Raw genomic sequence first — 26,144 nt, forward strand, 5'->3', positions numbered from 1 at the left:
ACCAAGAAACTCATTCTAGCCTGTTTGAATTGTCTATCATCATAATTAATGAACACTTTATAAATACAAACAGATAATCTATTTTGTAATTCAAATCGTCACTTTAAATTATTTGTTTTCCTTTGAGAAATGTTTGAAATAATGAAGAAAAAAATGTTGCTTTTGAGAAAAATCAAAGTAATATATACTAATTCATTCACATACATAAAACACTGATTTCCCTATTTATATATGCCTTTTGTATCTTTTCCCAACTATGGTAGATTGAATTATTAGCCTCAATTCTTCAGCCCTCCCTGTAGATTCACCTTGTCTTGTAATATTGCAGTGTCTTTCACTAAAGGTAGAGTGTATTTCACCATTGTTTGATTTTGATCGATAGGATATTTGGAGAACTGATGTGAGCAAAGGCTCAAAATGAATGGTGTGCTTAAAAATGTGTAACAACTGGCTCTCCAGTTACTAAAGAGCTTGGTTTGAGAATCAGTTAAACAAGATGAGGAAGTTCCTGATTTCTCACATTTGATGATATTCATGGTATAAATACTTTCACCACGGCCAACTTCATGTTAACAATGAGACATTAGTAAATGTGGAGATGGAAAGAGATGCACAGTAACATATCATGTTATAATATCTCTACTGTATAGACATACTAGATGTAAATGACCTCAAGATCCCAGATTAAAATAATGTAGAAAATAATTAGGAAGTGGTGAGTTTTTAATGTTTATTATTTTCTTTTTTAATATAATGTGTTTATCTATACCTTTATGTAATTTAAATTTTAATAATGGCTGTGTTTAATAACCACCTCAGAAAATGCTGAACATTTAACAATCAGGTCTTACGAGTAAATAAAGCCAGCTGTGGCACATGCCTGCTGGAAATATACTTTTGAGGTTGTCCAGGCTCTTCTGCACCTCTGCCATTGCTCTGAGAAGAAGGTGCCCTGGCTATCCCACTGGTTCAAGGAAGATAAAGACACATGGAACAGTGTCTTTATCCCCCAGCTAACTCAAAGGCCTCCAATTCAAAGAAGAGACAAGGTTGCTAAGTCTTGTCTTCATCAGTAGACTCACAGCTGCAACAGCTCCAGGAATGAAGAGGGGCTATGTCTTTTCCTTCTTTTTTTTTTTTATTATACTTTAAGTTCTTGAGTTGGAAGGTAGTTCGTTACATAGCATCACTGTAGTAATAGATGACTAATATATCAACCTCTTCTTGAGAGGTAAAAAGCAATGACCATTTTTTTATTATTAAAAGGACCACTGAGATATTTATTATATTATTAACTGAGATTATTATTTAATTTTGTATTATAGATGGAATTTAATTTACAAAGATATAAAGGCATATACTGGATCATCTGTTTGATCAACCAATTAGCAGAGATTATCTCATAACTTCAATGACTGTGTTTGATTGGCATTTGTGATTATTTTGATGCCAAGTGAATATTCACAGTAATAATATTTAACTATTAATGTATCAGTAAGCAAATATGACTGACATTAGTAGGGCATATTTTAATGTCAACTTGACCAAAGTCGCCTCAGGCTTATGACTATATTACATTACCAGTAATAATGATGTACTTTCTTTGCAGTAATAAATAGCAATTGAAGATCTGTCCACAGAATGAAACTTTGTATTTTAAGTTCTTTAATAATGTAAGACATTGGTTTGACATCATAAAAAAAAGTAACAGAGGCAATAGAAGTAATTTTATTGCAGTTGTCTAATGAAAAAGGAATAAAAGAGAATTTAGTGTGTGATGGTCTATTTGCAACAAGTGGAGTCCATTGTAATCAGTGGTGCCGGGGCGTAGGATATTGCGAGCATACTGGCCTCAAAATTACATATCCATTAGCAGGAAGTTCATAGTCACATCACAACTGACACATTTTGTTCCAGAAAAAATATCACTTCTTCAAACTCCTGCCTGCTTCTTCCCTGGGTACCACTTGTTTCCTGTGCTGATCCTGCTATAATGTCACTCAAATCTGGTCATATCTCTGCTCAGAACCTGTCAAAGCCTTCCTGTCTCACTCAGGGAAAAGGAACAATTTCTTCTAAGGCCCTCTAAGTCTCCCCACGATCCTTCTCACCTCCCTGGCTCACCTTCTCTCCCTTTTTTGTCTCCAACTTTATTTCTTCATACTCTCCACCCTCTAGAGAGTATAGATCACACTGCAGACACATTGGCTTCCATACTGCTTTTCAAAGCCTAAATTAGAAGAGCTTTTGTTCTTGCTGTTCCATCTGCTGTGAATTTTCTTCCCACATACATCCTCACTATCAAAGCCTCTAATAAAGTCATCTTGTCAACAAGGCCTTCTCTGATCATTCTACTTGAAATGAAACATTGCCCCAAGAAATTTCAATCCCACTTCCCCTCATTATTTTTGCCAATATTCTAATATACTATATGTTATATTATACTAATTTATTTTGTTCATGGTCTATTTTCCCCCATGAGAATATAAGCTTCATGTGGTCAAAAATTGGAATCTATTTTTCTTATTGTGTATTCTCAGCAGCTAGAGAGTGTCTGCACATAATAGGTGCTCAATACATAGTTTGCTGATTAAATAAGTCCTCACTGATAAAGTTGGGGGACTAGATAAGGTCATCTATATAAAATGTCCAGCATTACTTCTTGTCATATAGAAATCTCTTAACTACTGTAAGTATCAGTCATAATTTTCTTTTTCTATTTGAAGGTCAAATGTAGCTGGTAATGTGTAGAAAACAGAAGGGGGACTTTAAATGTAAGAAACAGGCACATTTTAAAATGTGCTAAATAAATCTCTAACAGACCTTATGATTTCTCAAAACTATTTAGAAGCTTTGGACTTAACATTACAAAATAACAAATTTCAAATTCGCTCAGATCTCTCTCCATTTAAATTCTCAAGAGAAAGTAAATAAAGTGACAGATGAAACAAATGTGATGAAAGCCTTACATTCTTGGGTACTTCTCCTTATGTTCAAACTCAATAAAGAGCTGACTTGTCCCTGGAGCTTTTGCCAACAAATAAACACTTTTCCTTTGCTGATCCCCTTTCTAGCAGGCTCACTAACCAGGTATTATTTAGGGCTCTTTAGTTTCTTTCTTAAAATTCTGTCCCTCAATTATCTCACTGCTCATGTTTTCAGCTATCACCTGTGCTCAGATTATATCTAATTTTCTCTGATTTTTTTCCTGGTTTCTTATTCTTTCTTCCCTTGTTGTTTCCACAGTATATCTATATCTAACATCATAACTTTATTAGAAATATGAAACTGCGAGAGTAAAGCCCATTTTATAATCCCTAATGGTCACTCATAAACTAAAGGTTGGTCATAAAAGAATATATAAATATTATTTTACATGAATATACAGGGAAGTACTTATTCTATTCAATAGGTACTTATTGAACATCCACTGGAAGTAAGAAGGATTCAAAGATCGGTACAGAATCAAACATAGCCTCTGTCCTTGGGGACTTAGATCAATTATATGTCCATAAAAAGACAAGAGGATTTCATCATGACAGACATCATGTTCAGATTTTATATAAAGTTTTATGGAAACATAGAACATGGGCTCCTTGCCTGGCTACATGGATGAGGTTAAAACAGGCTTTTTTTGGAGACTGTAATTTTTGATATGCCTGTAACTAGTTTTAAAGGATGAACAACCAGTTAAGACAATGAGATGGGAAGGAAATAGAAGTCATATCAAGCAGAGAAAATAACATGCACAAAATCTCTTGAAGTATAAGGTACCTCACATATGTACAACATGTAGTGAGAATACAAAGTTTTTGAAGTTGAAAGTAAGGCAGTGATAAAATAGCACTTCCCTCTTAGGAGTGTCTCCTGGGGAGACATGGAGACCCTTAGAAGCCAACAAGAGAACTAAAGCACTTAGAACAGTGCCTGCCACCCAGTAAATTTAACTGTTAGCCAAATAATATGAGATTTTATATTCTAGGCTGCAGAACTTGGATTATGAAGAGTGTCCAGAGTTTTAAATAAGGAAATGACATGATAAGTTTTGCTTTCTTGATAAAATACTATTAAGGCATTTTGAAGAAGTAAGACAGGAGACAGGGAAACTAATGAGGAAGATACTCCAGTTTCCACTAGGAGATGACAAAGCCTAGGGCAGAAGTAGTAGCAGTGGAGATGAGGGGATGGATTCAACAGCTATTTAAGCTATTGAATGTGGAAGCTGAGGGAGAGGAAGACAGACCCAAGGTTGATAGATTACATGGCTAGATGAAAGAAAGTACCATCAACTGAACTGAGGAAATTCTCCTCAGGACACTGGGGCATTTCCTGTGCATTCTGCACTAAACTTTCTAATACATTGTTCTCAACACTGTGTATGATCGACAAATATGGCTGATTATGACTGAGACTATAAAACAATATTCCCTAACAAGGTGTATTATGACACATGACATTAATGGATCATGTGCATTAAAAGCGATGAGACCAATGCTCACCCAGTAGAATTAGCATGGCTTTGGGTACTTAAAGAAAAGGCAGATATTAATTTTCAAAAACAAAAACATACTTCTGACGATGATTTCTGGATTGAGACTGAAAGCAATTTGTTTTGTGATTCAGAAAATTTTATCTCCAGAGTACTATATACTAACTGTGTCTGTCAGATTCATATTCTTTAATTTTTCTGTGAGATGAATACATGCTTTATAATGGTAATTTCACATATAGGGGAAGCTACAACAGCAGTATATCATGGCAGCTTCTTAATATGGAGACCAAGGCCTAACTATTCATCTTAGTTCAATAACTATTAACTCAACTTTCTTTGCCTTATTTCACATTTACCAGATGCAAAAAGGTGTTTTAGGGAGTGGAGAAAATGATAAAATCATAAGCTCTGTCTTGGATTAGGGCACAATTAAGCTAGACCAAATAGACAATTACAATAGAGAAAAACCTAACTGTGGCAGCAGTGTGCTTAAGACACAGGGATAGCTTGCTAAATATTTGAGAACCAACAGGAAGACAAAACAAATCATTGCAAGATTTTAAAATAAGAGTGAAAAAGGGCCGGGCGCGGTGGCTCAAGCCTATAATCCCACCACTTTGGGAGGCTGAGGCGGGCCGATCACAAGGTCAGGAGATCGAGACCATCCTGGCCAACATGGTGAAACCCCGTCTCTACTAAAAATACAAAAAAATTAGCCGGGCATGGTGGCAGGCGCCTGTAGTCCCAGCTACTCGGGAGGCTGAGGCAGGAGAATGGCGTGAACCCGGGAGGCGGAGCTTGCAGTGAGCCGAGATTGCGCCACTGCACTCCAGCCTGGGCGACAGAGCAAGACTCCGTCTCAAAAAAAAAAAAAAAAAAAAAAAAAAAAAAAAAGAGTTAAAAAAGATCTTAGATACATTTTAGAAGAATCACTTGGTTGCAATGTGGAGAATGGATTGAACAAAACCAACATGGGAAGCAAGGAGATACAATATGTGGATGCTGAATTTCCCAGTCAAGAAAGAATTAGGGCCAGGTGCAGTAGCTCACACCTGTAATCCCACCATTTTGGGAGGCCAGTGAGTGAGGATCACTTGAGGTCAGGAGTTCAACACCAGCCTTGCCAGCATGGTGAAATCCTGTCTCTACTAAAAATACAAAAATTAGCCAGGCCTGGTGGCATGCCCCTGTAATCCTAGCTACTTGGTAGGCTGAGGCAGGAGAATCACTTGAACCGGGAGGCAGGGGCTGCAATGAGCTGAGATTGTGCCACTGCACTCTAGCCTGGGTGACAAAGCAAGACTCTGTCTCAAGAAAAATAAATAAATTAATTAATTAATAAGTTAAATAAATAAGAATTAGTATCTTAACTAAGGCAGCAGTGTAGAATATGAAAAGAAGGAGATAATGGCCAAATGCATTTTGGATAGAGCAGAAGAATGTGAAAGTAGTGGCCTATTCAACGAGTCATGATGAAGGCATATGATGCCATCTAGCATCAGCCAGCCAGACAGTCATACATCAGTAGAAGTGGGTTGGCATGATGGGTCAGAGTGTAGGCTTCCTGAATTCACGTGCTGGCACTGCCACTGATTTAGCTGGGTGTCCATGAGAAGGACACTTTACTTCTCTAGTACCAACTTTATTAAATTATTGTGATGATTTAGTGAGTTAGAATATAAAAATGCTTAGAATAATGTCTGACATATAGGAAGCAAGTGAGAGTTAGTAATCATTATCTTGTTCCAACATTCAGGTACACAGGTTCTGCAGGCATCATGATGCAGTTCTGAGAATTTACAGATCCTATGCATTTTACGTATCCTAAATTTGGATGATTTCATGCCAGAAGGCGAGTGGTTACCTAGGGAGAGGCTGGCACTTTGCATGGCTCTGAACAACACAACCTTGCTCCCACTCACCAGAATTTCTTCCTTCCTTTTAATTAAGGCCTTGCTCAGCATCATTCAGAAAAGTCCCTCCTGTTTAATCTGTGACTCATAGTCCAACCATTTGAACGGTACAAACATTTCCTCTGCAGGAAGGAGCAGATGCATTGGTGAAAAACAAGTAGGGGAAAATAAAGCAAGGAGCCTCACAAATGCGGAGGTAGTTGGGACTAAAGAAATCACATGTTTTCATAGACATGTTAGCTTGTACAAGTCCCTTATTTTTCATGGCACAATAATCATCGGAGACCTTTGTCTCTAAAAGAAACGAAACCAACCACAGTTGCATCAGTTACCATCCCTGGAGTGTTGATCTGCCATTGGAAGAGACACAGGGCAGGAAAGGCTTCTCTCCAGGTAGCAATAAAAGAGTTATCAACTCACTCTGGTACTCCTCTGGGACCCAGAAAAAAAAAATCTAAGTCTGGCACCTAGGCTCTTTCCTGAGTGGGTTGTCATGGCAACAGGATATTAGCAACTGTTTTCAGGATTCTAGGGCCTTGGCAATTCTCATGAGTTTCTCTGCCTCAGCTTCTATGTATGCACGGACATATGGATACTAGAACTGATGCCAGAATTGAGGAGAGGATTTAAAATTCATGCCAGGATCCCTCTGGGTTACAGAGGACCTCAGCCGACCTCACAGAGTTTAGCTTGCTCTGCACCACTGCTGATACCATGACCCATCTGGTTCACTGCCTGCTGGAGCTCAGTTGCTCCAGCTGTAAAATAAGGGGGTTGGAGTCAGCAAGCTCAAAGGTTAATGTCAGCTCCAGAATGCTTTGAATCTCAGTAGTTTTACAGAATTTTCTTCCAGAGTTCATGGCTGATCTTGATCATGCTGTTTGAGAAACAAAAATCATCTTCATTAGTACTATTCTAGATAGAATCATTTGCTCTTGATCAAAGGCTTTGTCATAATTCAAATAAAATATTTAACTCATTGTATATGATATACATATTAAAGAAGGCTATATATTTGTGTGTGTATATATTCACAGAAGCTTTAGTATACAGGCACTTCAATATTCATATATTTTATTCCTTCATTCATGATTTAATTTACTTGATCTATGACTATATGGCATGAAATGTTGTATTAACTATAAATACTTGTTTCTTTGTGCCTGGATGTATGGCTTTAACTTGAGTACAAGTTCTGTTCCTCCAAGAATTCAGAAGAAAGCTGTAATTTTCATGAGTTCAGCTATTGTGTCTGTCTTACACGCTATTGTATCCTCATTACTTTGAATAGCACTTGATAAATGATGGATGATTAACAAATATTTGAAGAACGAGTGAATGAATGAATATATGAAAGACATAAATTGGGCCTACTTGAGTTTCTTTATATTATAGCAAAAAGTACCTCTTGATAAAGAACACATTAAATGTTCCAGTTACCTATAGCATAATAAATAGTCTTAAAACATAGTGGCAAAAACAAAGACAACCAATTCAAAATTTTATGCTCATAGATTCTACATATTAGAAATTCAAGAGGGGTACAATGAAGATGGTTCTTCTCCACTTCATAATGTCTGGAGACTTAACTGGGTTGATGAGATCAGCTGACAGTGACCAACAGCTGGAGGCTGACAGATTTGTGGCTGAGAGATCTGCTACCACAAGAAGATTGCTGAAAGGTTGAGATCAACTGGAACAATTGACCAGAGCTCTTAAATGAGGTTTGAATATCTCTCTCAGATGGTGACTGGTTTTTGAGAGGGAACATCTAGAGCACAGGCATTCAAAGAGATCAAGATAGAACCTGCAAGACTTCTGTTGACTTAGCATCAGAAGATACAAGAAGTGCTACTTCTGCCATGTTTTACTGGTTGTAACAAATCACTGACACCAATCCTCCATTTTTGACTTCTCTGGAACTTAGTCATCAGTTGTTGCCACTTCTACTGCAACAATTCCTACCTTTTATGTTTGATTTTTATCATGTTCTGCTATCTTCTAAAATAATTCTTTCATCACATCTTTCACCTTACCAATCCATGTTTCAGTGGTGTTCTTTCTGGTAATTATATCATCTATTGAACATTTTATTTTATATACTAAGTATTTGATACCAAAATACTTCTAGTTGTATTAATTTAAAACTTCCTAACTTCATATTGCCAATATCTCCCCTTTTAAAATTATATTTGTTGTATTTATTTTAAATAGCCATATATTTAAAGTTTTCTTTTTTTGTAAAGTATTTATAAGCTTCAAGTGTCTAGTCATATTGGTCTGGGGTGCCAGTTCTATGATAATGTACAATGTAATAGGTCAAAGATCTGGCCTTGGTCCGCATCCTAACTGAGGGCAAGAAATAGGTCCAAGACTCCACAGAATGACTTTGTATGTTCCTCTCTCTGCCACTCTCAAAGGCAACTCTGTCAGTCAGGAGATCACCTTTAAACTTTTAGAGAAAAATAAAGAATATCATAAAGAGGTATGTTTCATAGTTCTAATCCACCACCCATGAGATTTGGAGGAAAGGGACTCAAGTAGTAAATACTAAAGAATTGTTTTCATCAACCCTCATCCTAGCAGTTATTTTGTGCTGCTTTCATATTGACCACTCAATACCAACAGCATGGCCCTTGCAATTTCTGTGAGAAGTGGTCAAGAAATAGACTCTTAAATGTCTAGCTCCTCAATTGCCTTAAGTCCGCAGACCATTCCATCACACCACACACGCACACACACACACACACACACGCATACATACACTCACACACGTCTACACACACACACATAAACCAAGGCATGATAATTGCCTCACATTTCCCAAAACGTCTCTCATTCCTTTATTTTTCTAATTTCTCCAGGGTTCATTTTGAGGGAGAGGCCAGTAGCTCATGTTAATTTTTTATCTCATTAGGAATGGAAAGCTCCTCCAATATTTTTTCTAATGAAATATATTTTCTGAGGTGATCCACATACGGAAGGGATGACAAAATATCCATTTTTTTCTAAGTGCTCCAATTATACAAGTCTCTCTAATGATATGTTCATAAGACATGCCTATTCAATGAAGCTTTTGCTGGAATTTTACTCCAGATACAACCATCATCATTATATTATTATTATTATAAAAGTTATTGTTTATTTGGGATTTTCTATGAGCCATGTTCAATAATAATTACTTTACATGTCTAATCATATGTAATTTAGGGCATCTAAATAGGTTCCTTAGTAAGGTCATATGCAAAGTTTCAAAGTAGAACAGTCCAAAATGAAATAAAATAAAATAAGAAGCCCAATTCTTTTTTCCAATCCCTCAAAGAAAACAAATACAAGCTTCTGGTAGCTACTTTTATTACTTTCTTAGCTCTTGGCATCCCTACATTCTGCAGACTCTCATTCTACACTCTCCTTCCTTGCCTACTTCTTTTTTCTTTTGTATCTGTTGACTTCATTTCTTTGCTAAGTCCTCCCCATGTTCCTCCTGAGTCTTAGGCTCAATCTCTTTTGGATTATACTGCATCACAAAAGGTTTCTCTGGCAGAGACAGATTATACAGAAGGAATCTAAGACTTGAAAGCTGGGTTAGCAATGAAAGCATTCTCTCTGGTAGACTGGGGTGGGGAGACAACATCTCTGAGCATTTCTTTATTAATATTTTTTCCATCACATATATATGATCTCATTTGTTCTCTCAACAACACTATTAATTACATATCATAACTGTATTTTTTTCTGTTTTCTTTTTTCTTTTTTTTTGTTTTTGAGATCGAGTCTCACTCTGTCACCCAGGCTGGAGCGCAGTGGTGCAATCTTGGCTCACTGAAAACCCCGCCTCCCAGGTTCACGCCATTCTCCTGCCTCAGCCTCCCAAGTAGCTGGGACTACAGGCACCCGCCACCACGGCTGGCTAATTTTTTGTATTTTTAGTAGAGACGGGGTTTCACCGTGTTAGCCAGGATGGTCTCGATCTCCTGACCTCGTGATCAGCCTGCCTTGGCTCCCAAAGTGCTGGGATTACAGGCGTGAGCCACCACACTCAGCCAACTGTATTTTTTATGTGAGGTCAGCAAGTATCACCGAGGTAAAATTGCTTGTCCAAAGTTACAGTAGATGTTCTTGAAAGTAAAGAAGTGAAAATGTACAGCCAGGGTATCTGATGTTGATGCCCACACTTTTAACTATTTACTAAGTTTGCTATACTTCTTCCTATTAAGATATATTTCCAAAACAACATCAAAAGTTAGACCTTCATAGGAACTCTCCTCTTCAACTGAAAGAGTTTGGGTCAAGGGAGATAACATATTTAAAAGAACCTGTCTGAGCATTCTGAGTTTGTTTCTGCTTGCTCAAGTATATCTCCATTCCCAAAGAGTGGCTCACCTGAGGCCATCAGTATAATTTTACATAATTATACACATAACCGGTGTAACAGCTATTAGCAACCAATTAGTAATAATTTGGGCAATGCTAGACATTCTCTTGCACTAAATCTTTTATCATGAAATTTTAAGTGATTAGATTCATAAATAATAAACTACCTACCAGAGATATTCATTATAAAAGACTGTACTTCAAATATGCTGTCACAAGTTCTTTAAATATAAGCAAATTATCCAACTGAAGCACCATTCCTCAGAATCCTGTTATGTATATGAACTTATCACCAACTCAGAAAAGCCAGTGATCATCATCTGAAACACAGAACCCATTTCCAGCTGTCATGAAGTCTAAAGCAAGGTCTGTCTACTCACTCAAGAGACACTCCAGGGAATATTGACAGTCACCCTACTGCAGAAATTCTGTTGTATTGGTAAAGTGAAGAATAAAAAGGAAAAATGGTGGGGGAAACTTTTAAGATATGATGATTTATCTTTATCTGTGGACCAAATCTCTTAACAGCAAAGAAGGAGCAAAAATTTGGAAAATTGCCTAGATGATGTCTTACCTGCCTCCGTAATCAATTCAAGGCAGTGTATCCTAGAAATAAAGCAGCTGCATTTTTGTTTCCAACATGAAATAGAAGGAAAATTGAGGCTACTCAATTCAAATGTTTAAGACCTGCAAATCTGTGAAACTTAAAATCAAAATGGCCAGTTCCTTATTCCCCAACCCCACAATATTTCAGATAAAAAATAGTTGACTTCCTGATGCTCAAAAAGTAGTTAATGAATTAAAAAATAAACAAACTTTATATTTCTGTTGTGTATTTGTAGCTTAAAGTGCATTTACTACCATTATGCACTAAAGACGAATGGTAAGAATTAGTGCCATTACTACTTTACAAATAAAAAAGCCAAGGCACACACAAAATAGAGTGGAGGAAAAAAAACAAAGATTTTAGAGCAAATTCTAGAGCTAAATTCTAGCTCTATTGCCATATAAGTTTTTAATTTGAGCATTACTCTCCAAATTCCATTTGCTTAGCAATCAAATGATAATAAAAATAGTTCTAGACATCTTGAAGTTTAAAGGATCATATGAAAAGTAACAACAGGTATCTAATAAATCTTCCTTTCCACTACCCCACTGTCTCCTTTTGCTTTGCAAAAAGTATGTATGTTGATCTTGCTTGCTAAGACAATTAGGAAGATGTTTCTTTATACATTTTTCTCAGTAACTATGTTTGCTGTCAGATATAGCTTCTTAGAATTTTCTCAGCTTGAAAAACATTAGTCTAATGGAAATTGTCAATTAATTTTTACTGTTGACCTAATTTTTTCCTATCACTCCTACATTGGAATTCCATCCCACAGTGCTTTGCCTAACTGTCTTAGAGTCTAAGGTAAAAGAAATATTCAGTAATGCTGATCTTGCCTTTATTTAAAATTTTGATATTTTGTTCATCATCAATTTTTTGCATTCATTTTTTAAAAATACTGCTTTAAAATATTGTTTATCTCAATTCCTAAGTTTTTTGGCACCCTTTAAAATTTTTCAGACAATGCAAATGCCCCACTTGCTTCATCTCAGTCCAGGCCTTGCCATTCTGCTTCTATTTTCATATGTTTAGAACACTTTTTTTTTTTTTTTTTTTTACCTAGTATGAGGTGAGTCTAAATCTGGCTTAAGCCAATGGAGGATACCAGAATTATCCAAAGAATAGATAAGGCCCCTACCATCTGGCTTTATAAGGCCCTGGAAATAAAATATCCTGTTTACTTTTTTATGACACCAAAAATATCAAAACACAACAGGAGGCATGTTAAGCCCAGAGTTTACACTGGGAAGATTTGATTTAGTTTCATTGTTCGCAGATTTTTGTTTGCTTTATTGTCTACTTTCAGTTTTGTTTCTATTTATGTCTTTCTTTTGGCAGCAAGCAATGGATAATCTCAATTAGTGGTTCAGGAGAGATGAAGATATTCCCTTCCTTTAAAATCTGACATCCGATATTGTTGTACCCTTCACTTCCCCAGAGGAAGGACTTACAAGAGCAACAGACCCAGCAGCAGCAGCTCCATTAAATATCTATCCTTACACTTTCTTCAGGGCAGCAAAAATTGAGCTTCTCAAGGTTGTCCAGAGCTTTAGATATCCCCTCCTTTATTTTCCCAAAAGCATGCAAGTTTAGTAAAGAGGAACTTAGGTGCCACTGCAGGAGCTGGGTCCTACTGCTCTAGGCCCAGCTTAGCTCAGCTGGAGTCAGAGCAAGATGTATCTATGGCTGGTTTGCAGAAGGTCACTGCATTGGTTACCTTGCTGACAAAAAATAAATCCTAGACTTAACACTGATAAGAAACATCATTTTGGCAGAAGCTTTAAAAAGAGAAATATTTAAAATTGACTATGTAGGAAAAAAATAAACAATGTGACTAACAAGAATAATTTAGGACTTCCAAAAATATAGTCTACATACGAATTAACAATAATTAATTTTCATTACCTGCTTACAAGGAAACTGATGTTGTTTCTAGCTCTTTTGTTATATTGAACTTTTGCAACAACTTTTTAAGATAGTCACTATTTTAAAACTTGCTGAAGGTCACTCTGCTAGGCCATGAGCTCTAGCTACTATAATATATGCTTCTCAAGTAATCAAGAAAAACCAGCTTTAGGAAAATGCAAGTGAGAATTATTTGCCCAGAATTCTGGTTAATGGGTGCTACATGTATGTGTGTTTATGTATGTACATATACTTAGGGAGCTATCTGTGGAAGGTAAGGAGTTCCAAGGTCAAGATGTTTGGAGGACACATGTCAAAAAAAGTTAAACAGATTTTTATTGCAAACATTATCAGTGTCATGAATAGGCTGAGGTGAACAGTGACTCTCCAAGGGAAGAGTTTTAATGGTAGGGTTTATATAGTAGTCCATTTTCACGTTGCTATAAAGAAGTGCCTGATCCTGGGTAATTTATAAAAGAAAGAAGTTTAATTGACTCACAGTTCTGCATGGCTTGGGAGGCCTCAGGAAATTTACAATCATGGTGGAAAAGGAAGTAAACACATCCTTCTTCACACGGCAGCAAAGAGGGGAAAAGTCCCTTATAAAACCACCAGATCTTGTGAGGACTCACTCATTATCATGAGAACAGCAGCATGGGGGTAACTGCACCCATGATTTAATTACCTCCCACTAGGTCCCTCCCATGACAGGTGCGGATTATGGGAACTAAAATTCCAGATGAGATTTGGGTGGTAACACAGTCAAACCATATCGTTCTGTCCCTGACCCCTCCCATATCTCATGTACTCACTTTTTAAAACACAATCATGCCTTTCCAACGGTCCCCCAAATTCTTAACTCATTCCAACACTAACTCAAAACTCCAAGTTCCAAGCCTCATCTGAGACAGGGCAAGTCCCTTCTGCCTATGAGCCTGTAAAATCAAAACCAAGTTAATTACTGCCTAGATACAACGGGGGTAGAGGAATTGGGTAAATAAACCCATCACAAATGGGAGAAATTGTCCAAAAATGGGGCTACAGGCCCCATGCAAGTTTGAAATCCAATAGGGCAATTATTAAACCTTAAAGTTCCAAAATGATCTCCTTCGACTCCATATCTCACATCCTAGTACACTGATGCAAGAGTGGGCTCCCAAGGCCTGGGGCAGCTCCAGTCCTGTTGTTTTGCAGGGTACAGCCCTCTTCCTGGCTGCTTTCACAGGCTGGCATTGAGTGTTAGCAGCTTTTCCAGGCATGTGGTGCAAGCTGTCAATGGACCTACCAGTCTGGGATCTGAAAGATGGCAACCCTTTTTTCACAACTCCACTAGGCCATGCCCCAGTGCAGACTCTGTGTAAGGGCTCCAACCTCAGATTTCCCTTCTCCACTCCCCCATCAGAGGTTCTCCATGAGGGCTGTGCATCTGCAGCACACCTCTGCCTGGACATCCAGGAGTTTCCATACATCCTCTGAAATCTAGGCAGAGGCTCCCAAACCTCAATTCTTGACTTTTGTGCACCTGCAGGCTCAACACCACGTGGAAGTTGCCAAGGCTTGATGCTTACACCTTTTGAAGCCACGGCCTGAGCTGTACTTAGGCCCCTTTTAGCCATGGCTGGAGTTGCTAAGCACAAAGCACTAAGTCCCTAGGCTGCACACAGCAGGGAGCCCCTGGACCTGGTCCTGGAAACCATTTTTCCCTCCTAGGCCTCCGGGCCTGTGATGGGAGGGGCTGCCATGAAGGTCTCTGAGATGTCCTGGAGATATTTTCCCCATTGTCTTGTCGATTAGCATTTGGCTCCTTGTTCCTTATGCAAATTTCTGCAGCATGTTTGAATTCCTCTCCAGAAAATGGGATTTTATTTTCTACTGCATTGTCAGGCTGCAAATTTTCAAAACTTTTATGCTGTGTCACTTCTTAAATGCTTTGCTTCTTAGAAATTTCTTTTGCCAGATACTAAATCATCTCTCAAGTTCAAAGTTTCACAGATCTCTAGGGCAGGGGCAAAAAGCTGCCAGTCTTTTTGCTAAAGCATAGCAAGAGTGACCTTTACATTAGTTCCCAATGAGTTCCTCATCTCCATCTGAGCCCATCTCAGCCTGGACTTCATTGTCCATAACACTATCAGCATTTTGGTCAAAGCCATACAACAAGTCTCTGGGAAGTTCTGGTAGAGGCAGGGGGCAGACAAGGAAGGGTCCCCAGAGAATCTCTGACCTGCCCCACAAGTGTTTATACCAGATGATTTTGTGCAGCTAAAGGAACCTGCACAGGGGGCTTGCCTGGGCATCCCCACAATTAACTGGAGGCCCACATGCACTGTGGGAATGGGGTGGGGCCACCAGGAATCCATGTCTTATGCAGGAGAAGAGCTTGGCCTCCTCAGCTCCTCAGCTTGGCCTCCTGAGCTCAGCTCAGCTCAGTGTGGTAGCCTGGTATTCAATCTGTGAGGTGGGAGTTGGCTGGCAGGAACCCTCTCTTTGCTAAGAGCTCCCCTTTCACTTAATGAATTTCACCCTTCTCACCCTGCAACGTGTTCTCATGCCTAATTTTTCCTGGTTGTGAGACAAGAACCCAGATTTAGTTGAACTAAGAAGCAAAAAATCCTGCATCAGTTCCAAACTTTCCCACATTTTCCTGCCTTTTTCTGAGCCCTCCAAACCGTTCCAACCTCTGCCTGTGACCCAGTTACAAAGTTGCTTCCACATTTTCAGGTATCCTTGTAGCAGCACTCCACTTTCTGTGGTGCCAATTTACTGTATTAGCCCATTTTCATGCTGGAATAAAGAACTGCCTAAGAGTGGGCAATTTATAAAGGAAATAGATTTAATTAACTCATAGTTCTCCATGGCTGGGGAGGCCTCAGAAAACTTGCAATCATGGAAGAAGGGGAAGCAAACATGTCCTTCTTCACATGGCAGCAGGAGAGAGAAGTACCAATCAAAGAGGGAAAAGCCCCTTATAAAATCATTAGATCTCATGAGAACTCACTCACTATCATGAGAAGAGCAGCATGGGGGTAACTGCCCCCATGATTTAATTACCTCCCACTGGGTCAATCCCATAACACATGGGGATTATGGGAACTACGATTCAAGATGAGATTTGGGTGGGGACACACCAAATCATATCAGTTTAAGTATAAGGTATTTGACTAGGACCATACCTTTGTGATGGGGCATGACTTCTTGGTTGCATTTCATTTTGTCCTGGCACCTTAGTAGTTAACAGCTGCTGACTGAATGGCAGCCAGAAGTTCACTACCAACAACAGGTGCATGAGTGCCACCACAGTACGGATCTCCGCCTGGTCCCCAGCTGTCACACCAACCTCATTGTGAGTGTGGAATGTTTAACAATGCGTGGCCATGCATACCAGTCCTGAGGGAGAGAGAGAGACCAAGCATGAGGGAGTACTGGTGAGGCAGCCAGCTGAAAGAGCAAGTGATGACTCAGAAAAGCATACAGAGCCGTTGGGGTTTCTTAACAGGCACTCACTGCACCTAGGAAAGGATAAGGAGAAATTTAATGGACCCTGCTGGGTCTGTTGCTATGTAAATCTCATCTCTGGGGAAGTGACTGGCACAAGAATATCAGATGTCACTGGTGCAGACATTTGGCAGATGTGCCTTGTATTTACCAGCGTGCAACCTGTGAGCAAATTCCAAATGTGTGAGCTTGGGAGTGTGGGCAGATGGGTATGGATATGTGCATATGCCACTTCTTACATCCACTGCCCACAAAGCAGGAGCAAGGTTTAAGAGGTGAAATTTGACATGACATTTGGTGTGCACTGATAGAGACAGTTTAATTTTTGCAAATACTCATTGTCAGCTGCATTTTAGAGGCAAACACCCCATCCATACACACTCTCTCACAAATATGTGAAATGAATCAAATTGCCCATGGCTCCCATGGGAAAAACGTGCTATTACTCTGTTTCCAAAGCAGTTGTCAGATCTCTGGTGATACCTCAAACCAGATACTTGCATTTATGTGACAAGGACTCTTAAAAAGCCTGATAGCTTGTTCCAGGGGAAGGGAAATAAAATAGATAAGTGGAGTTTATTTAAAGTTGAGAGGAACAGAAAGACAGAATATTTATATTGATATGTGATATTTTATCCTTATTATGCATTTTTATCCTGTTTGGTCAATGGACAAATAGTGCTGAATGTAGGACTAATCTTAAAGAAAATGCCCAGAGTACTTGAATTGTATTGAATTAAATTGAATTGGATCAAATTGAATCAAATAGATTTTGTGAGTGCTCACCTATGTCCAAGAATAGGTTATTTAAGACTGATCTTGGATATAGAAGAGACAGCCTTAGCTTGCAGTGTGGCACATAAAGCAAGGAGGAAATGAGATTTATGTCTGTCCTGGGTAAGAGCTGGTAGAAAGCAAGGGGAAGTCTCAGTCTTCAAGGCAAGATCAGAACCAAAGTTAAGTTAAGATCAGAAGCACAGTTTCAGACAGGAAATATATCTGGCTGAGAAAGTAATTTGGAACTTAGAGGCTGGGGAAAATCCCAGAAGCCCGGTACCCAGGGATAATGTTGCTGGGGGTAGGTGTGGATATTAGGGTAGAACAACTGTGATATCTAGACACTTTGGTCAGGAATTGATAACAAGGAAACCCTAAGATACAGACTATGCAACACCAGTTGTAGACCATCATGGTGACCAATATTTCCTGAACTACAGGAGCAGTGGCCAAGGGAACTATTAGGGAAGATGAAATAAAAGCAAGACATGGTTTTGTGCCCTGATCGTGAAAATCCCTGACTCTTTCAATGTACATAGCAAAAACATTGTAAAATGTTTAGATTTCTTTTGTATGCAGTCATAAAACTGAAGCAGAGAAGCCAAGAAAAACACTATTAATATTAAATAAGATGATTTTCACATAAATAATTGCCACATTATTTTTTGCTGTTTATTTTCATATTCACAAGAAGGAATGCATTTGAAAATGAAGGTGGAGTTCTGCTCTCTTTTGCTAAGTAAATGACAGAATCAGATGTCTCTCATGCTCTTGAAAAGATAGTGAATCCATCCTGCCACCTCAAAGTTAAATTGTATAAGCCCCAGCATAAAAGTGTGCTAGACTCATTTTAAAATCTCCATCACTGCATGACCTTGAGCTAACTGTCACTTCATCTTCTAAACCTTCCATTTTCTTTCTTATAAAATTTCCTAAGAGTGATTGCCAGCACTTGCTCAGTGGTCACTGTGTGCCAAATACTGTTCCACATATTTTATCTAAATTCTTCCATTTTAATCCCCATCATTACCCAAAAAACTCAGATGAAAACTATCTCAATTTTAAAGAGGAGGAGTTGAAGTATGTAAAGGATAAAGAACCCATCCAAGTCACATAGTTTCTAAGGGAGAGCACCAGAACATAAACCTAGGCCACTGGGTTTCTAAGTCTGTCTATTTGACCAGCAAGCTATGCTTTCTCCCAGGGAAAATATTTCTTATGCAATATGAATATGATAAAGGTGAAATACATAACAGGTATACAATAAAACCTAGTAAATGTTGTTTTTCTCCTTAGTTTGTCCAGCACTTACCTCCCAACCTCACCCCAGGTTATGGAAAGGGAAGAGGGAAACTGCAGGTATACATGGGTCCTAACTCCTCGGGTGATTCTAACAGACTTCACGAATGAGAACCTTTCCTTCTATGAACCCATTCCCTGGTTTTGTAGCATTCAGCCTCAAGAGATTCCTTCCTGACTTCTGACTTAATTCAAACAGGGGAGACTATAAGGTATTTTCCCCTTGTTTTATTAAAAATTCTGTGTTACAACACTCCTAGGAGTTTATGACTAAGTCCAACATGTCAAAATTGTTTGGTCTAAAATTATTTGGCTTTCTGAAGTCTCTATTTTCTTTCAACTTTGACTTGTGCAATCATTATATAGTTATATCAATGAATATCTCCTGAGTGTAAGTACATTCTGCTTCTTGAATTGCCAGGTACTGTTTCCAAAAATTGGATCCCAATGTGATGTGCTGCTGCATTCAGATCCATTACCTGTTGCTGAGCTGGGCTTATGTGGTCCATCGCTGTATTTGCCTCCTTCCCACCAGAGGCTTTTTTACAGAGAGCTTCAGCATTAGCTGCAATCCTAGTAGACATCTTAAGAGTATGAAAATTGTTACACCAATCTAGAACCATTCAATGTAGCCACAAATTATTGTGGGTTTGGGTGACTAGGTGGCTTTCCGATACATACTTAGAAATGTCAATGTTTTATCATAGCTACATGGATCTAACTTCTGTGCATGCTTATGAGCCATTTTTTATTTTTATTTATTTATTTTTTTATATGGACTCTTGCTCTGTCGCCCAGGCTGGAGTGCAGTGGCGCGATCTCGGCTCACTTCAAGCTCCGCCTCCCAGGTTCACGCCATTCTCCTGCCTCAGTCTCATGAGTAGCTGGGGCTACAGGCACCCGCCACTACGCCCTGCTAATTTTTTGTATTTTTAGTAGAGACGGGGTTTTATGAGCCATTTTAAAGCAATTTGGTACAGTGGAACATGAGAAAAATGAGGAAGAATGACAATTTCTATGAGGAACTTAAAGACTGATATTTTATTTGAATAAAATTGTATAGTGGAAAGTCTCTAGCATCTTAAACGTATGAAGAGATTACTGTTCTCCCAATCCCTCCCCACAGTGGATTATCAATTTTTTGGATGAGCTTTGGAGGATTCATGAGCCCAAAAATGAGGGTAAAATTTTGTAGCTGCGTTTTGGGGGAAGAATTTTATACCTTTTTTTCCCCCAGATTCTCCAAATGACCTGTTCCATGATAAATTAAGGATACAGAGGTAGAAAAAAAAATGGATGTGAGCTCAGTGTCCATGTCTGTACTGAACGGAAATGTAGTCTACATCTATTTTGTTATTTTTACCTAAATAGTTAATTCAAAGTTATTTGCTGAGTGTCTAAGATGCATCATGCATAGTACCAGACACTAAGAATGTGACCAAACATCAGATCCCTTTCTTTGAAAGCAGAAACTTTTTAAAGAGGGAACTCTTTGCTAGGTCTACATTGACTCTTTCTTTTCTTGACTCTCAAGTGTACCTTCTACTCCAGCCTCCCAATACTTTCTTTTCACTTGCAGTGTATTCTCCAACTCCCATCTACCTCTCTGTTTTCCTGGGACTCACTGAGGCTAAGAAAATAATGGGATGGATTTTTGACATGTTTCAATTCTGGGAAGAATCTACACTCTTTCTGGCGTGGTAAGATACAGAAGTTATAGCAGAAAAAGTTTATCTTCATGATGCAAAATCTTTTGTTATATTTTGCTACTCCTATATGATTTCAGACCTCTCTGAAGGCTTCTGTTCTTGTATTCCTCCACTGTCAGATCTCAAAACTCCCATCTCCAACTTAATTAAACTAAAGAGCCTCTGCACAGCATAATAAATATAAACACAGTAAACAGGTAACATAAAGAATGGGAGAAAGCATTCATAAACTATGCATCTGACAAAGATCTAATGTCCAGAATTAATAAGCAATGTAAAGAATTCTACAATCAAGAAACAACCCATTGAAAAGTGAGCAAAAGACATGAACAGACAGTTCTCAAAAGAAGACATATAAGCAGCCAATAAACATATTTTAAAAAAATCCTCAGTATTGCTATGCATTAGAGAAATACAAATCAAAAATCACAACGAGATACAATCTCACACAACTGAGAATGTCTATTATTAAGCCTGGGCAACATGGCAAAACCCCATCTCTACTAAAAATACACACACACACAAAAAAATACCTGGGTGTGGTGGTGCATGCTTGTAGTCCCCACTACTTGGAGGGCTGAGGTGGAGGATCACTTGAGCCCAGGAATTTGAGGCTGCAGTGAACCGAGATCGTGCGACTGCACTCCAACTTGGGCAATAAGAGTGAGACACTGTCAAAAAAAAAAAAGAAAAAAAAGGCTGGGCATGGTGGCTCACACCTGTAATTCCAGCACTTGGGAGGCCAAGGTGGGTGAATCACTTGAGGTCCAGAGTTTGAGACCAGCCTAACCAACATGGAGGAAACCTGTTTCTACTAAAAATACAAAATTAGCCGAGCATGGTGGCACATGCCTGTAATCCCAGCTACTAGGGAGGCTAAGGCAGGAGAATCACCTGAACCCAGGAGGCAGAGGTTGTGGTGAGCAGAGATCACACCATTGCGCTCCGGCCTGGGCAATAAGAGTGAAACTCCATCTCAAAAAAAATAAAAAAAAGAAGAACGTCTATAATGAAAAATAAAACAACAACAGTTACTGGCAAGGCTACGGAGAAAAAGAAATACTTACACACTGTTGCTGGGAATGTAAATTAGTTCAGCCATTGTGGAAAACAGTTTGAAGATGTCTCAAAGAACTTAGAACTACCATTCAACCCAACAATCCTATGACTAGGTACATATTCAAAAGAAAATAAAACATTCTACCGAAAAGACACATGCACACATATGTTCATCACTGTGCTATTCACAATAGTAAAAACATAAAATCAACTTAGGTGCCCATCTATGGTGGGCTAGATAAAGAAAATGTGGTACATGTACACCATGGAATACTATGCAGCCACAAAAAAACTAAATCATGTTCTTTGCAGCAACATGGATGCAGTTGGAGGTCATTATCCTAAGTCAATTAATGAAGAAACAGAAAACCAAATACTACATGTTCTCACTTATAAGTGGGGGCTAAACACTGTACTCACAAACATAAAGATGGAAACAATAGACACTGGGAACTACTCGCAGGGAGACAGGGGACAAAGTTTGAAAAAGTAAGTATTGGATCCTATGCTCACTATCTGAGTGACAGGATCATTTGTATCCCAAACCTCAGCATCACACAATATACTCACATAACAAATCTGCACATATATCCCCTGAATCTAAAATAAAAGTTGAAATTATTTATAAAAGCCACCTCAATTGGATGAGAACTGGACATGATGGCATAATATTTTCCGTATCTCAAAGAACTTATACCAAAATAGTTGGGCTTTAAAGTTTTAGGGAAGAAGATAGGGCAATGGAGTGAATCATTGGAGGAAGTGTGGAATCTCTGCTGACAGAAGCAGTTGGCCATAGGATGCACTTTCATAAGCTAGAATGAAGGTTCTTTTCTCATGGAGTGAGCAAAACCAGATTTATGTGTTAAGTAGTAAGGAGCTATTTTAAAATCTCCACTATCCAAATGACCATGTGTAGCTTGTAACACTTGAACCTGAGATAAAAAGCAGACTAAACATTCTCTAAGGATATGTATATGCCCAACCACTTTTTACTTTTTTGATACAAAAATTCAATAACCAACTCTTAAAGTTAAAATGTGGGATTCAGTCAACATAATAATTTGTGAACAGTTGATTGAATTGTGCATTTTCCAAAGTTAAAGAAGTAGGTGATCTATAAAGGGAGGGAATGAGCATAATGGTACAAGAAAAACCTGAGCTAAAGATAATTACAGCAACTATCAGTTTAGCTCTGAGCTTTGTGGGAGGAAGGATGAGGAAAATGAAGCATACAGATATTTAACATGTTACTGAGCCTGATTTGCAGCATATGGAAGGAGAGAACTTACAGGATAAAATTCTTCTTCATCAATTTACTCTGAGGAAACTGCTAAGCTAGCTCTGAGAGTGCAGTTAATTGCAATGAAAATTTCACATTATAAAATCAATTTTTCTCTAATTTTTATCCATGTAATTGACTCAGAAATATTTAAATATGGTGCTCATTTTTGCTTAAGACTTCACCGCTCATGGACGATATGGTGGCTGCTGCTCTCAGGTCTGATATTGCCCCAAATTTTCCATTTTTTTACTCTACACAAATCCTCAGTTTGGATATTTGTAGGGGTAGAATTTGTCTTAGTATGCCAATATTTGCCTCTAAAGTGGGAGTTCATGTTTTTCAGTCAAAGTACTACTTTGTACACTTATGATTTTATAAGATGAATTAAGGAAAGTTTCCTCTACTCAAAGATGGAATTTGAGATTACAGTTAAAAATTGATCTATATTGATTCTGTAATAATTAGCTTTGTCCAAGAATATAATTGTAAATATTTATGTGAACTATATAATAGTCTGTTTTGGAGACAGGGATACTTTCTGAAGAAAATCTTGATTCATATCTATAGAATCTCTAGGATGCTTACTATTATATAGGACACCATGAGGGAAAACAAAATGGAGCAGCTATTTTTTAATCTTTAAAGCATGAAAATATCATACAATCTTCCCAGTTAGTTTATATCATAATAGATTTGGAGTGATTTTCATTCTTCAAATCTGCTAGTTATGGAAGATGCATGATTCTGAGGAATGGATTCTGAGTTCTTTGAACTCATCTAAGAACACATTGCTAGGACTAAGACAATTTTAAGTTATTTACACAGGTCATTTTGTTACCCCACTGTCTTGGAGGAGACCTTCTGTTCTTGATTCTCTAGGCCAAGATAAAATTTCCAAGGCCTCAGGATCTACCTAAAACCAATTGAACATTCTAGGCTCACTCAGGCTGAAAACCATCCTAAAACTGGATCATAAACCACTAAATAAGAATATGTTTGTCCAAAGCTCACCTTTCATCTAGGCTGGCCTCCAGTATGGTATATATAGTAAGAGATAGCTTATATTTTAATTTTAAAGATTTAATTTGATAAGATCTTAGGATGATTTTTTAGACAGAAATGCTAAAGAAAGACAAGATAGTCACCTTTCTTAAAGAGGGCATATTCTGCCAAACTCTCAAGTATGAAACTTAAAAGAGAGAAAGAACATGGTCTCCTGCATTTAAAGCACAGCAACTCCATCCAACAAGAGCTAATCTCTAACCAAGGCTTTGATTATAAAATTGGCAACTCTGTTTTAGTAAAAGAGCAATAGCACGTTCAATATTATATAAGAGAAAGCGAATTAGCCTCTGAAAATCCTTCCCATTTTCTTCTTTTAATTCATTTAGCTTAACATTTGAGCCTGTACTGAACTGCTGAGGGAGAAGTCAGAGGATTTTCAAAGGACCATGCTCTATCATCATGAGATGTTTCCCCAATTTATAACACTGCACTTCTGTATACTCATTTTTGTCATTCATACTTTACTACAGCACAACTGTAACTACAGAGCCCACATGAAAGGCAGAACATAAGAAGAACATAAAATTCCTGTCTCACATGCATATTTAAGGCAAACATAAACCCCTGAGTGTTTTAGTTGGACTAAAAAAGGCAACAAAGAGTGGAAAATAAGCAAGTTGGTGTTCTATTTGTCATAAGTGACTATGAATTCTAGATTGAGGGTTACTGACTAGGTAAGATTGGAGGCCCCTCTAGGATTATTTGTCCCCAGCTAAAAGAGAGTCTGCTCTGCGTATACCAGCATTTTTCTTTATATTCCAAGATGCCATTTCCACAAGTACCGTCATCCCCAAGTAAAATTCCACTCTGGGGATTTATATATAGGACATAAAGCTGCAGTTAGCCTTTGCCATATTTTCAAATCTGGCTCTTGCTCTTTCATAACCAAGCACACCTAATATCAGCATATTTTTCTCTAAATTTTTCTTTTCTATTTTTCTTCCCAAGGCAGAAACTTTTTTTTTCCTCCTGCTAACCTGAAAGAGCTGGAGATGCTGAAAATACCATAGAGAAGTTGATATTTGCTTCCTTTCACATTTAAATCTTTTTTACTTCTCCTCCTATTTTTCTACCTTTACTCCTCCTTCCATCCTTCAATTCTTTCTTTTCCCAAATTTAAAATATCTTGACTTCTTTGAATTATGCTTCTTTCAGGTCCTTCAAATATTAAACTATATCAAAGAATGAGTAAGGGCAGGTAGCTCACATGAAAATACAAAGGAAGCCCTGTAGCTTTTTGCTACATTTCTTATCCTACAGTGTCATTTTTCTTTTTTCCTACTGTTCAAGGATATGGGTATTCTTCTTTTAAATTTTTATCAGATAATATAGCATCTATTTTTTATTTCTTCTTGAGACATTTATCAGTCAGGCTGCATAACAGGTCATGCTAAAACTGAATGACTTACATGTATTAATCTAACAGTTCTATCATTGCCAATTTGCACTGGGCTCATTTGGACAGTTCTGATGATCTGTGCCAGGGTTGGTTCGTCTCAACTGGGTGCATTCATTTGTCAGGAGTCAGCTTCCAGACTGGTTGAGGGCATGCTGTTCAAAGATGGCCTAGATGGAATGGTCTGTTTTATGTACTCTCTCATTCTTCAATAGGTTAACCCCAGTGGCCAGGGCAAGATATTCAAAGGGTGACAGGAAAGGTTCAGCCTCAAAATTCACAAAAATGGCATTTGGCTGCATTTTATTGAATCATTCAAGTCAAAGATTAGAAGGAGAAGGAATACATAGGCCCTACCTCTTGATGTCAGGTGAAAAGTTTGCAACCATTTTCATAATGTACTACAGAAAATGGAGGTAGTGTAATGTGGCTCTGATGTTTGAGTTTGGAGTCAGAATATCAGGGTCAAATCACATCTCCAAACTTATTACTTTTGTATCAGTTCCTTGTTTTCTATGGCTTCATCCCACATGTAAGTGCTTGGTGCCTAGTAAGAAAATATATTTTAGCTATTGCCATACTATTGTCATTATTTTTATTATTACAGTTTTTAGGCCTGACTCTTAATTTACATATACAATGATTAATCCATAAATTTTTAGATAGCTTTTACATTAAGGCCTTGTGAATTCCATTGAGACCCACAGCATCTTTGTCTTGAAGAAATACTATTGTTATATCTATGAATCACATGTTTACATGATCCACAGA

At 38.0% G+C, this 26,144-nt stretch overlaps 1 long non-coding RNA gene across 1 annotated transcript in view; it reads right to left on the minus strand.

Annotated features, from left to right (window-relative positions):
* LOC101928135 (uncharacterized) overlaps positions 1 to 16,613 on the minus strand; it is a 518,229-nt gene extending 501,616 nt beyond the window's left edge. The window contains exon 1 of the long non-coding RNA NR_110817.1: positions 16,462 to 16,613. This is a non-coding gene — a long non-coding RNA (uncharacterized LOC101928135). The remainder of the gene's footprint in view (positions 1 to 16,461) is intronic.
* Between the last annotated feature and the right edge of the window lie 9,531 nt (positions 16,614 to 26,144).

Source organism: Homo sapiens, chromosome 3, assembly GCF_000001405.40.
Source record: "Homo sapiens chromosome 3, GRCh38.p14 Primary Assembly".
Taxonomy (NCBI): domain Eukaryota; kingdom Metazoa; phylum Chordata; class Mammalia; order Primates; family Hominidae; genus Homo; species Homo sapiens.